The sequence below is a fragment of the Homo sapiens genome, chromosome 2 (assembly GCF_000001405.40).
Source record: "Homo sapiens chromosome 2, GRCh38.p14 Primary Assembly".
Lineage (NCBI taxonomy): Eukaryota > Metazoa > Chordata > Mammalia > Primates > Hominidae > Homo > Homo sapiens.
This window is the reverse complement of record NC_000002.12, coordinates 149371006-149385464: the sequence shown is the minus strand read 5'-3', so window position 1 is coordinate 149385464 and position 14459 is coordinate 149371006. Positions and strand designations below refer to the sequence as shown.

At 40.5% G+C, this 14459-nt stretch overlaps 1 protein-coding gene across 5 annotated transcripts in view; it reads right to left on the bottom strand.

Moving 5' to 3' along the window:
* The window catches only part of LYPD6 (LY6/PLAUR domain containing 6), a 156394-nt gene that overhangs the window by 100914 nt on the left and 41021 nt on the right, over positions 1-14459 (bottom strand). For 2 of the 5 annotated variants that reach the window (XM_024452699.2, XM_047443400.1), the window contains one exon: positions 6690-6853. The exons of 2 other annotated variants lie outside the window; for them this stretch is intronic. The gene's annotated coding sequence lies outside the window, so the exon portion shown is untranslated. Of the gene's footprint in view, positions 1-6689; positions 7068-14459 lie in introns of those variants that run through there. One more of the 5 variants, XM_024452701.2, reaches the window with a different exon arrangement.

Below are 14459 nucleotides of genomic sequence, written 5' to 3'. Positions count from 1 at the left end.
CTCTGTTGGTAGTTTTCCAAATTGCCAATGTCTTTGGCACATCATGGCTGGTCTCAGGCTAATACCATTAAACTCAGATAAATCCACTATGTCCTTGCTGGGTTTGTCCTCTTGGAGGTTTAGTGGAAGAAATGTGCCTTTCAGACGCTTCTGCTCTGAATGCCACATGTTAAATAGAGGATTTCAGGCAAAGGTGGTCTCTGAGATGGGTAGGCTGGGTTTACACACAGTGAATACATCAGGCGCTAATGAACACCCCATCTTTACCCATTTGCACTCTGCCACCTAGAGCTTCATAACTTTCCTTCAGGGCAAAGGAGGAATCAGAAGGGAAACAAAGGGAAGAGAGATAAAATGAAAGGAGAGGAAATGAAAGGATGGTCCCACGAAGCTACTGAAGGTAGAGAAATGCCATCTACATCCATAAACAGATGAAATTGGAAATCATCATTCTCAGTAAACTATCGCAAGGACAAAAAACCAGACACCACATGTTCTCACTCACAGGTGGGAATTGAACAATGAGAACACATGGACACAGGAAGGGGAACATCACACTCTGGGGACTGTTGTGGGGTGGGGGGAGGGGGAAGGGATAGTTTTAGGAGATATACCTAATGCTAAATGACGAGTTAATGGGTGCAGCACACCAGCATGGCACATGTATACATATGTAACTAACCTGCACACTGTGCACATGTACCCTAAAACTTAAAGTATAATAATAATAAAATAAAAAAATAAAAAAAATTTAAAAACAGAGCCTGGAGAGGAGTAAGGGAAGTCCCACTGTCTAGTCACAGAGATGCATGGTGACACCTTGGGTCAGGCTATTCCCTCTGTGCTATTACCTCTGTGGTACTGTTAACAGCTATAGTGCCAACACGAGCACACCTCTGTGGTAGGCGCCATGTCAAATGGAATGTTCCCCCAACCAGTGCCCATGACTGGGGCCAGTGCTGAGCCTTTGCCCAGGAACAAAGCAGATGATGGAGATATCACAGTCTAGCATAGGCAACTTGGAGGAGACACATCCCCCTGTAATGCCTTCTCAAACCCCACAACCAACAAACACAGACATCCAGGTATTTCTATTGCAGATGTCATTTGAGTTTTCTACAGGCACTGACAAATGCCCAGGAGTTTGTGATAAGAATACTTTGCCTTCAGCTTATGTCATAAATGGAAATGTCTGCTGCCTCAATGCATACGACTGAACCCTATATATATTTTGCTAATTGCCTTAGTAAATAAAATATGAACATCTTATAATTGAGATGCTGTTAAAAAATGAAGACTCCAGTATGGATGCTTACATTGATCAGTTCATCCATTCAAATAGTGAGTCAACAAATATTTAATGGGATTCTACTATGGAACATGAACTATACTGAGAATATAAGCAGGAATAAAAGATAGCCTCTACCCTTGAGCAGCTCACAGTGTAGAAAAAACAGGAATTTAATGTGATGTTTGCTATAATATGTATTTCTTATAGCATATTATTAACACCAAAGGAAGACTGATTGACTGTCTATGGGAGTTGAGGAAGACTTCACAAAACAAAGTATTTAATTTAGATCCTTAGGGGCAAATATGTGTTTTATAGGTGAAGAAAGAGGTGTAGGTTATAACAAACACACCATATGTAGGGAAACTCAGTTTTATTACTTACTAGTACATATCATCAGTTACTAGGAAATCATCCCCACTATTATCCAAAAGCAAATGGACCAATGCTTTAAATTGAAAAGTTATAAATGTGCTCAATGTATGATCACTTCATTGGAATTTACCAAACTGGTTCTTTCTATGGTTTTTACACAGTACATGGAAGGCTTTGACCCATAATGACTCAGTAAGATGAATGTTTCTCTCACTCCCATTTCCAAGTACTGTTTCCTTTAGTCATCTGTTTTTGGAGTCTCTTTAAACTGAACTGAGTTTCATCTTTGGACTGTACATGTGGCAACGCACATGATCATCAAATCTCTCTGATGTTAAACAGATGTTGAGTTTAATTTTGTGATACTCTGATAAAAAGGATTAAAAGAAGGCTCACAAAAGCAATCACCCTACCCCCCAAAAAAACTGAATTTTAACAATAATCAATGAGCCAAAAGATGTGGTTAAGTTTATCCTAGTAAGAAACAAAAATATTACAAAATGAACACTCTGTTTTTGACCCAAAACATTTTTACTGACCTATTAAAACTCAAGGCATTATTCAGGGTTAGTCAACCGGCATAGAAAAGTTTTAATATTTTCCTGTAATTTCAAAAGCACTTATTAAGTTTAGGTAATGAAAAGGTTTTGGAAATAGTGGTGATAGTTGCAAAACACTGAATTAATTAATGCCACTGAATTACACACTTTAGTTAAAATTGTAAATTTTATGCAATATATATTTCACCACAATAAAAATACCCTATTGAAATGTTTTATTTAAAAAGCACTTATTAGAATTTTTTATAGACCAGATATTGACATTTGAAATTTTTATTCTGACCATTTTCCTTGGAGAGTATTGTAAGAGATCAAAGATTCTAGATATATTGCCTTTTATCCAGGCAAAACCATATGTGAAGTACTATAAGAAAACTTAATCTATCTTAAAGAATTCTAGAAAAGAGTCCACAATATTTTCATAAATTTGTTATATTAATGAGCTAACAGAATTATAATAGGCTATCAAATCTACTACTTTTCTACAGATGTTCTAAAATGATCTCAATTCTTATAGTTTTTGTTTGACCAGAATTTGTGCACAGTTGAATTGTTCTGACACTAACTAAATCTTATGTAAGATTTGAATCAAGCTAATGAGAGACTTAGAAACTCCAGTGATTTATGGTATAGAGAGTAATACTGAACTGAAATGCTGACTGACGTCAACATGAGGTTCACAAACATGATATAGGGCCACAGAATCAAGTCTGAAAAAAGGTGGAAAGAAATGAGCAAATATTCAGATGGCGGAGTATGCCAAAGAGTTGATTTTAAGAGTAGGCATTTTGAGGAGATGTATGAATTAAGACTGATTAAATGACTTCTAATACAATAGGAAAATATTTCCACCTAAAAATTCTAATCATCTCTAAGGGAACATGAGAGATATTTTAACCCAATATTACTTATGCGTATGGCACAATTAGCATTGTATGAGATGTGACTGCAAGGTAAGAAGAGCAATTCCATATTCCTCAACCTTATTTATGATAATACTTTGCACTTAAGGAAATTATAACTTCTAGTGTTAATTAATATATTTCTAAAAATGTATTTTTGGGCTGGAAAGCAACCAAAACTTCCATTAACAAGGTTATGTTTTTCCTATTAAGAAGGTTTCATTTTTAAGCTCTGCAAGGACTTTGTCCCCATTAAAACTTGCTATACACTGGACTATAACTGAAAAATGGTGAAACTCAACATTTCATAGTAATGAACAAAAAATACTTAATCTGATCTTTTCTCTCTAGGACTATTCAGAGCAATAAAACACATAAGGGGAAAAAAGAGATCCTATGAGTACATTCAGACCTGGAAATCATCACGAATTAACAGTCATTTAAAAAGAGAATATTAACAGAAGGAAAGAATTCTATACTGCAATTCAGATGACCTGGATTTGAGATCCACACTTTGACTTCAAGCTGTGTGATTTTAGAACACCCAACTCTCTGCCAACTTCACAGGGTTGTTGGGGCAACCAACATATGAGAAAGCACTTGGTAAATGGAAAAGCATTGACAAATGTAGGTTAATAAAAATCTACTGTTACCATTAAAATTTAGTCTGCAGTATTAGACATTAGTCCACTCGTGCTCTCACTCTCTTTGATGACAATGTTCTATCTTCCTTCTCTATCTTCAAATTTCTATCATTTTCTACCCAAGCATCACTCTTTGTTGGTGACCTGTTTTCTGACTTCACTAAAAAATCTGAAGCAATCAGAAAAGAACTGGCACATGGTCTCACCACCACCTCTCTCTACCTGTGAGAATCTTGCCCATACACTCTGCCTACCTCCTGTTACAGAGGATGAACTATATTCCTAAAACAGGGCCACCTCGTCAACAGACCCCATCTCTTCCTCCCTACTCAGCAACCCAATAGCAATTCTCCCCTCCGTATCTTAACTTTTTGCTCTCTACTACATCAGTACCAGCAATAAACCTTCATACTGTTGTTTCACCCCTCTAAAGGCAAAAACCAAACCAAACAACAAAACAGAATCCTCCTGACTGAAGTTCCCCTATAAGGTACCAGACTATTCTTCTCTTCCTTTTGCAGTAAAACTCTTCAAGAGTCTTTACACTTGTCTCCAGTTCCTCTTCTTCCATTTTGTTGTCAACTCCCTCCAAAAACCATCTGCCCCACCACACCACCCAAACAATTCTCCTCAAGGCCACCAATGATGTCCACGGTGCTCAATATACTGCTCAGTTCTCAGTTGTCATCTTATTTACAGCATTTGACCCAGCAGATCACATCTTCTTCATATCCTCTTCTTCAGTTGGCTTCTGGGACTCTTCTCTGGGTTGGCTTTCCTTCTCTTTTAATGGTTGCTTTTTCTCACCTTCCTTTGCTATTTCCCTGTGTCCCAGACTCAAAATTGAGTACCCCAAAGGTCAGTCCTTAAACCCTTCATTCAATAACTTCTTTCTCACTCATACCTTGGTGTGCTCATCCAGGCTGATGGCTTTAAATACCATCCGTATGCTCATGTCTCTCAACTATATATTTTTATCCCAGATGTCTTCATTGAGTTGCATACTTCTGTATCCAACTGTTTACCCAACGTTTTCTCCTGGAGGTCTCATGCCCTTATAAAACTTTCAATGTCCAAAACAGAATAACTGGTCAGTCTCCAAACATCTGCTATGGTCACAGAGTACCCTGCCTGAGTTAATGGCCACTCCCATGTTTCTAGCTGTTCAGGCCAAAATGCTTGGACTATCCTTGACTCTACACTTTGTCCCACACTCACAACTTACCATATGCAAACCTTTCAAATGGATCGCCCCTTTACCACCTCCATCAATTCTTGTCTGGAATGTCGCATAAGCCTCCCACCTGGGCTCCCTGCTTTGCCTCTATAGCCTCTTCTTAGCATGTCATGTAGAGTGATTCTTTTAAAAGATAAGTTATGTCTTATCTTCGCTCTGCTTAGAACGCCCCTGTGGCTTTCTTCCTCACTCAGTAAAATCCAGAGGTATAACAAAGTCCTTCAAGACACTATATAATCAAGAGCTGCCCCCGCTCCCCATTTCTGACCTTATCTCCTATTCAGGATCATTCCACCGCTTGCTATTTCTCACACTTGCCAACTAGCTCCTGCCTCAGGGCATCTGCATGTGCTCTTTCCTCTGTCAGGAAGATTCCCCCAGATACCTGTGGCATTTGCCTCCTTACCTCCATCTAGTTTTTATTCAAGGTCACCTTCTCAGGGAAGCTTTCCTTATCGAAAACTGCAAATCCTTCCCGTTCCTCTGCTCTGTTTCGAGGGAGTTCTCTACAGTACTTCTCTCTCACCTTCTGATATCTACTGTTGTTTACTGATTTATCTTGCTCACTGTCAGTTTCACCCATGCTGCAGATTGAAGCTTCTCAAGGGTAGGGATTCTGTTTGTTCACTGCTGTAAACTAGCACTTAGGAAGATGCCTGGCACTTAGTAGGTGATGCTTGATAAACATTTGTTGAATTAATGAACTAAATGATGGAATTACAGCTATTAGCTGTGAATGATTTCAGATGTCTAGTCCTTGCCTTATTCTGTGGTTCTGAAGGAGCATGGCTGACATGAGACACAGCTGAGCTCAGGGCTCTTTCCAGCCCACAGCCTTTCCTGACACAAAGACACAGAACTGAAGCACCCACCCAAGGTAAGTTCAATCACGATCATGAGAATAAATTCTTCCACTGCTGATTTTCATTGAATCTAATAGGAACTAACCCAGAATTTTTTCCAAATATCAATTGTAAAATGAAGGTCTATTCTATTCCAGGAATTGAGCATCCTTTGGTAAACTTTTAAAATTTTTTTCTTAAAATTTAAGCGTAAACATTTAAGGTAAGTGGTTTGTAAACCTCAGGCTTCCAAAGGTTTAGCAGTTATGTCCATAAAGACCTGAGGCAGGTGTTGATGCACAGATCCTAGTGGTTTCTGAGCCATCTCTGCTTCAACTACCTTCCTCTTGGACTCAAGTCTTCCAGTTCTCCTAACTCCCAATTTAAAGCTGCTCATCTGATACCAAAACCAGCTGCAGCATAAATGCTGTTTTTTTCTAGCCTCTAGTTGAGGGGGCTCCCATACCACAGATGCACAGCCCTCCTGCCTGCTTGAACCAACACAAACTTTGGTTTATATAGTGCTGAAGAATTATTCAGAGGGCAGGTTTCAGTCAATTCGGTGAATTCATAACTTCTTCAAATAGCCTGAGATGATCAGAAAAAAATGTTTGCTAATTCTTGGCATCCTCAAATATAATCTCTCTGTTAAATGTCAGTTACTTTGACATTTGACAACCAGTACTTTTTGTGATCTATATTCCGGTCAAGGACCTTGGCTAAACACTGTATAGAAAACAAGGATATAGGCACAAGTTTCCAGGATGGGGCAGTAAGGAGTACATTGCAAGATCATGCCCCAGAAGTGGAGGAAAAAGAGTATTTGAGAGATACTGACCCTGTGGGTTTCATGAGAGAAGTTTTCATGTGGCAATTGTAGGGTGAGCTGAAGGGCTATGTCATAGGAGGGGAAGACACAAGGTGGCTGGCTCATTAAATACAGGGCAAATTGCTGAATGCAAGACTCCCCTTTCATCTTCTGCAAACTCTCATTTAAACGATCTGTACAAACGAAAATAATCACTCATCAAAAACATGAACCACATAGCACCTTACAGATAAGAGACATCCAAAAATATTTGTTAATAAATTAATGAGTATTAGAATAAGTTAAAATATTGCTACTAAACTGACTACTTAAAAACAGGAGAATTAACATGAAATGATGGGACAAGTCCTCTTAAAAAGTTTAATCGGGCCAAGCCCAATGTCTCATGCCTGTAATCCTAGCACTTTGGGAGGCCAGGGCAGGTGGACAGCTTGAGCCAAGGAGTTCGAAACCAGCCTGGGCAACATGGCGAAATTCTGTCTCTATAAAAAATACAAAAATTAGCTGGGCGTGGTGGCAGGCACCTGTAATCCTAGCTACTCAGGAGGCTGAGGTGGGAGGATCACCTAAGCCAGGGAAGGTTGAGGCTGCAAGGAGCTGTGATTGTGCTACTACATTCCAGCCTGGGTGACAGAGTGAAACCCTGTCTCAAAATATATATATTATTAATCATAGATACTCCCTTGATTATTACTATGAGTTACACATAGCTAGGAAAGTCTTTTGAAGAATAGGTAAAACAGCATCTCCAGCTTTAGGGGGTGCATAGAAAAAGGAAGAGACAATATATAGATAGGAACTATGTCTCATTACTGGATCCCCAGGGCCTGACCTCATGCCAGGCACATTGGAGATGGTATATTTGCGATGAATACACATGAGGCCTGCAGGAGGCTCCAGGGCAAGAGTAATGATAAAGCCAGCAAACACAGATACAGACACTGGAAGGATCAGAGGTGCCCTAACAGTTTCCCTTGCTTTTTTGGGGGGGTGGGGGGGGGGGTGGGGACAAAGTCTCGCTCTGTCGTCCAGGCTGGAGTGCAGTGGTGTGATCTCAGCTCACTGCAACCTCCGCCTCCCAGAATCAAGCAATTCTCCTGTCTCAGCCTCCCGAGTAGCTGGAACTATAGGTGTGTGCCACCACACCGGGCTAACTTTTGTATTTGTAGTAGAGGCGGGGTTTCACCGTGTTGCCCAGGCTGGTCTCAAACTCCTGACCTCAGGTGATTCACCCACCTTGGCCTCCCAAATACTGGGATTACAGGTATGAGCCACCGCACCCAGCCACTTTGCTTTTTTATGCTCACATTATTACCGGGCCTGTGAGAGCCACTGTTCCTTCAAGGTTAGAGCCTACATCTGGGAGAAGTGCTCCTGCCTCTCGCAGCATCCCTTTAAGTCTGATAAAGCAGCTCCTGTGTGCGGTGCCCACTTCAACCTGGGACTTGCTTGGCAGTTGTGTTTTTTTTTTTCCAGTGATTAAGCCAAGCAGGCAGATTCCTGCATAGTCTCCTTGCAACAGAACCTGCCAGCAGACCTGACAGACAACATCACTCCGCATGTTTCCAAGAAAAAAAAAAAAGGAAAAAAGAAAGAAAAGAGTCATCTACTTCACCACAAAAAACCACTTGCCTATTCAAAGTCATTTGTTGTTAGACAAAGTTCTAAACCAGGGGTCATCAGTTTTCTTAGCAGCAATAGTCCAGACCCTGGTTAAGACAGTGGAGCCCTATAGTGAGATGGCTCATATATGTATAACCATATACAGCAGAAGTCTGATTTTATGCTATCTCCTGATCCCAGTGACAAAGGAGATGCAAAGGTTTGGTGACTGCACTGTAGACAGTTTATATAAAACCAGGAGAAAAGAACATGGGAGCTTTGGATTGCTCCATATTTAATTAAATGAATTTAGTCAGTACTGCACCTACAAAATGCCAGATTCCAAATTAGGGAACAGTAGCAATGGTTACATGTGAGCTTTACCAGCAGTTCTGAGGATTTCAAATCTTTCTACACTTTATAAGCTTTACATGCGTCCCTGGATTAAGTTGCTTATCCCAGATAAGAAATTGTATATAAAGACAGTGAAACAGTGGGTAAGACACAATGAGTACCCAGTAATATATTTTTATTAGATCTTCTACACATGTATGGCATCTAATGATAATGAATTTTATATTAAATTGCAATATTATTAATTGCATTTAATTCTCACAACAACCCTATGAAGTAGTTATTATTAGTAGTATTTTACAGATGGGAGATTAGGAGATTAGGTTTATCTGACCTTGTTCTTTATCCCCTCCTCTAGAACATCCAAGCAGTGGTTTTTCCAAACTAGGAAGACCCCCCTACTGAGCAGAGTTAAGAAGGCAATGGAAAAAAAAAATGTTCTGGGCTCAGAATGGCGTGGGTGAGGGACTTCTAATTCCATTTATTTTAATAGTATTCAGATGAAATGCAGGGCATACAAATAGATATGCACAGTGCAAGTTAACCACCAGAAAGCTCTTCAATCTTGCCAAGTTAGACAGAGCTGTTTCTTTTGTACCAGTTTTAGACCGCAAATCTGGAGAATTTATCTGTAGGGCTGTTTTCCCAAGGCCTCCAAAACAGACCCAGGGCAAACCACACATCCCGGGCTGACACTGCTCAACTTCAGCTTCTGTTGTTTCAGCTCTGAGGCGGTTTCCATGCCAGCATGCAGCCCTTTTGTGTTTTTGCAGCTTCATCCCAGGCCACATTTGTTTAGGTGCGTTCACTATCTCCAGTTCAGCTGCCTTCTCTCAGGCTAAAATAACACTTGGCTTATGCACTAAGAAAACGCTGCTATTGTAATTTTGCAGTGGTAGCATTTTTGGAATCAGATTCGCAATTCTGTATGCTTTGCATATTGATGGCATTGTTCTCGTTAGTCACATCCTGTCTAACTCTCTCAGTATCCCAGTCCTCAGCTTCCCATCATCCCAGACGTACTCTTGTTGGAATTCCCCCTTCCACCTGTCAAACCCAGTTCCTTGCCTCCCTGCAATCACAGCAATAATAAAAAATAACAAACAGCAATAATAACAACACTGTCTCTTTATAGCACTTGGGAATTTCAAATGTCATGGTAACAGTTATAGCAATGGGCCCACAAAAAAGCATGGTAGAATAAACAGAGAAACAAGAATATACAAAGAGAAAATGTTGGGAGAACCCCAAACATTTTTCTGATTCTCTTTAGGAAAGGTATTTTCTAAATCTATTTTTAGACCACTGGGATTTCAGGGTCAAAGAACACATAAGAACTTGCTGAGCTTTATTTTCGTCATGCCAATACAGAGGGCAGGACCACATCAGTGCCCATTCAATAAACAGTAGGCATGATTATCATCATCATCATTCCTTCAGAGGAAAAGAAACCTCTCACTCAAGTGTTCCCCACTCACACCCCACCTACCTCCCACAGTCCATGACTTCATCTCGCCAAGACCCATTACAATTAGTTTGATACCAACTGTATATCAAAAATCACAGTGCCACCCACGGGCACTTACTTATTGGGTTCATTTACGCTGATGAAAAATACTCAAGAAATCAAGGTAAATCCTGGTTTGTCTACCTTCAGAATAAATCTACTCATACCTTCACCTCCATCTAAGAAAAATTTACGAAGGCACTGTGATTCTAACCCTTAACAAACCCTGAGGTCTGTGAAACAGCTCTTCTGATGAATCATGGACAACCCCCAAGTCTCTCTAGATCCTTGAAGACTGAAGATCACCTGGACCAAACTGAACATCCCATCTCCTCTGAAACCCTGACTTCCTGCCAGAACCAAACAAGCTCCACAAATAGTGGGAGTGAAGTTGTTTCCTTCACTGCTTTCTTTCCTGGTCATCCCAGCACATTTCCTTGCATGCAAAACAAAACAAAACCACTATTTTTCCTCATAATTGTATTATAATATCATATTGCATAAATATGACTATGCTGTAAAATCAAATTTCATCCTGAAAATATTAACCATGTATAGTAAAAGCCTAACATGTGCTACCTTCCTGTGAAGCAGGATGTTAACCCTCCCTGTTGACACCAGCAGAGGGAAACTTACTATAGACTGGACTTTCCGATTCTCAGGAGAACCTCCTAAATGCAAGAATAAGGAGAAAATTAATATAGATCATTTCTCTTAAGAGCCTAAGACTCAGCAAACAAGAGAAGGGAGATTGTCAGGGACAGACTTCCCTTCAGTGTAACTTTATTCAACACAATATCACTCGGGCACCTACTACTTGCTGGGCTCTATCTAGATAATACTCAAATTGTTGCCTTCATTCCCAATATCATGGAGCACCAGGATCCAGGGCTAGATGTCACTGTGTCACAGGAAGTAGGAAAGTCACACATCTACTCTACTTTTCAACCTCGACTAAACATTGAGTTGACATCAAATACAAAGCCATAAGATGCATCGTATTCACAAAACACTTCCTAAACTCCAGACCTGAACATAATTGAGACTTTTTTCCTTTGTTTTTCTTTTTTCTCAGTCTATGTATTTTAGTCAACAAAACCATATGCTTGACTTCTGAAATAAAGTGATGTGAGCCTTCCCTGCCCTGGTTTCTTTCCATTATTGAGATTTCCATAAGTTTAAGAAAAGATGCTGGCCATTTAGCCTCCAAGGATACTTAGCCTCAGGATCAGCTAGACAAAATCTAAATTTCCCAAGAAGTTCCCTCAATACTTTGCCCTTTAAAGCAATATGAATCAATTATCATGCAGTTCATTCCTGCATGGGGGCAGGAATGGACCATAAAATGACCTCTTTAAAAATCCAACTGAGTAAATATAAAGCCACAAAAATAGTTTCCCACAGCAACTTTCTATCTTCAATGTCTTTCACTAAAATAGCTAAAGAAACTAGATTCCAATTAATCTCTTTACATTACATAATAGAATTAAGCTTATACAATTAAATGTTACATGAAGGATTGATATTTTGAATACATGACTAAAGCAACAAATAACCTGCAAGAAAAACACATACAGCTTTGTTTCACTACCGTGTGGCTTCTACCAGCACACCTCCAAATAAGCCAATCTTGCTGAGATGACCAATGGCCTCCATGCTATGAAATCCAAGTGAGGATTTCAGTCCTCCACTTACTTGACTCCTCAACAACACTCACCACAGTTCACCACTCTCCACTTCTTGTAATATTCTTCCCTTGGACACGAGGACAGCTCGGTCTCCTTGCTGTCCTTGTACTCCCCTTTCATCCCTTTTCAGCCTCCTATTCTGACTCCTCCCCTACCTGACCTCTAAATGTGGCAATTTCTCAGGACACAGTCCTGGAACCCCTTTCCTTCCTACTCTATGCTCTCTCCCAAAGTGATTTCATGCATTCTCATTGCTTTAAATACCATGCCAGCAACTCCCAAATTTATAACTTCAGCTCAGACTGATTTTCTGACTCCAGACTCATCTACTTAATTACCTACTTGTCATCTTCAACGGTGGCTCACTGGCATTAGAAACTAAACTTGCCTGCAGCTGAATTCTTGATCTCCAGGCACTGGCCCTTCCCTCCACACAACTGCTCCTATAGGACTCCTGGGAGTCACCCTCAACACCTTCTCCTGCACCCCACAAAGCCCCTTGCCTGCCCTCTAATCAAGGGCCTGCTCTCTCTTGCTGACCACAGCATCAGCCTCCCAGCCATGGCCACTGCTCTCACTTAGTCCCCTCCAACCCTTTCTCTAGCAACAACCAGAGAGAGCTACTCAAAGCACAAATCTGATCCTGTAACTCCCTAAAGGATCTTAAAACTCCAGAAAGGTTTACACTGAGGACCTGTAATGAAGCCTGCAATCTTAGGGAATGATGGGATCAACCCCTAGATGAAAATTTTTGTATTCTTTTTCACTGCTGTAAATAAAGCTCTGTGAATTTTTACATTTGTATGCTCCTGTGTAACTCAACACCTGAAACAAGTTATAAACACTTCCAGCATTCTAGAAAGCTTATGCCCCTGTCCCATCCCCACCCTCTTCACAGGAATCTACTATCCTAGCCTTTATTACAATGAATTTATATTGTCTTTTCTTGACCATTATATACATTGGCTCATAGAGATCAATAATTTTTTAAACTAAACCAAATTCTTTGAATGCTCTGCAAGTTTAGACCAGCTTTAAGACAGTGAAATCCTGGAGTCATCTAATGTCAAATGTCTCAATTCCCAAAATAGTTTGTTAATTTAAAAGTGAGAATGAAATGCACCCAACACCCCAGATGAAGGTGTCCTTGTGAATTGTCCCTCAGTATTTAAGACAACAGTATTTAAGAGGAACTACTGCCTCTACTCATGGGCTTTGAACCAATCTGGATATTCTGCTAGGGAAATTTAGTCAAAGAGACCAGTCTTTAAATTCAAACAGGGAATTCAAAGTGACAAAAGTACAATAGCATAAGCAAAGTATACGGTTATAGTCTTAAGAGAGGAACGGGACTTTATCAGGCGTAAGGTCTTACTGATAGAGTTGTATCGCAAGTATTAGGAATTAATGAGGATGGGCTGTGCTGCGGCAGCTTGAAGTCTGATAAAGCCTCACCTGCACCCACTGAACATTCTATTCACCCAGGAAGAAGGCTGACAAATCTCTATTTTCAAGCCATAGTCCTTAATTTTGTCTTTCTGTCCAGAATAAGGACCTATTCAAATAAATATCCCAGGGCAGCAAATCCCTGGAATGCCTCCGCTCTCCTATAAGTTATTGTGCCACCTGAAGGTCAAAGAGCCATCTCCCCTGGGTTTGGAATTTTGGAAGCCTCTGTGGAGGGGCAGGTGGAAGGGCTTAAGGACTTGTTTTTGCTCCCTCGATGGTCCAATACCCCTCCCTCAGATCAAGCAGAGAATTTCTAGGCCTAAAATCAGGATTAAATAGGAGTACTATGGACACTCCAGCAAAGTATGGCAGATTTGACGAAGCTACTCTCACAGCTCATCCCATTTCTTACTGGAAAGTCTGCCCTCTGCATCCTCTGGTAGCACAAACACTAGTTAAGTGCATCAGCAGACCTGTGCCTCCTGACGCCTGCTAAGTGCCAGGCACGGGTTCTGACGACACGATTCCAGGCACGTGTGAGGCACTCAAAAAATGCTGGTGACTATTACCATGAAAGAATTCCCACAAATCATGGTTTCTGCTTCCTAAATACACACACACAAAAAACCTGCTTGCTTCTTCCATTTGAAACATAAATTAACTTGGGTAACATCACCATCATCCCATCCTCTTTTTGGTAAACTAAACCAGAAGATTTCTTAGAGGAAAAAATACTGCTTTAGAATATTTAATGATATATACGTCCACTTTCTCTTTTTTACTAAACCTAAGTTTCTCTTGAATCCCATGCTAGTAATTCTCACTTAGCCTTGCTAAAGATGCATGGAAGAAAACCTTCCAGGTCTTCTGGTAAATGGAGTGGTGGGTGAGAGGATGAGTCCATTTTGGGCCAGACATCCTTAGATACGTGCTTTGCCAATGACAGCTGACAAACTTGGGAGCAAGGCCATCTTGCACAGGATCCCAGCCCTATACTGTTCATGCAACCAAGAATCACCTGAGACTGAGAGGTCAAGGCTGCAGTGAGCCATGGTCTCGCCCCCTGCTCTTCAACCTGGGCAACAGAGTGGGATCCTCTCACTTATAAAAAGAGTCAGCCTCAGTGAGGAGAGGAAAGCCATAGCAAGAAGACAGGAGAAAGACAACCTCAAAGCTTTC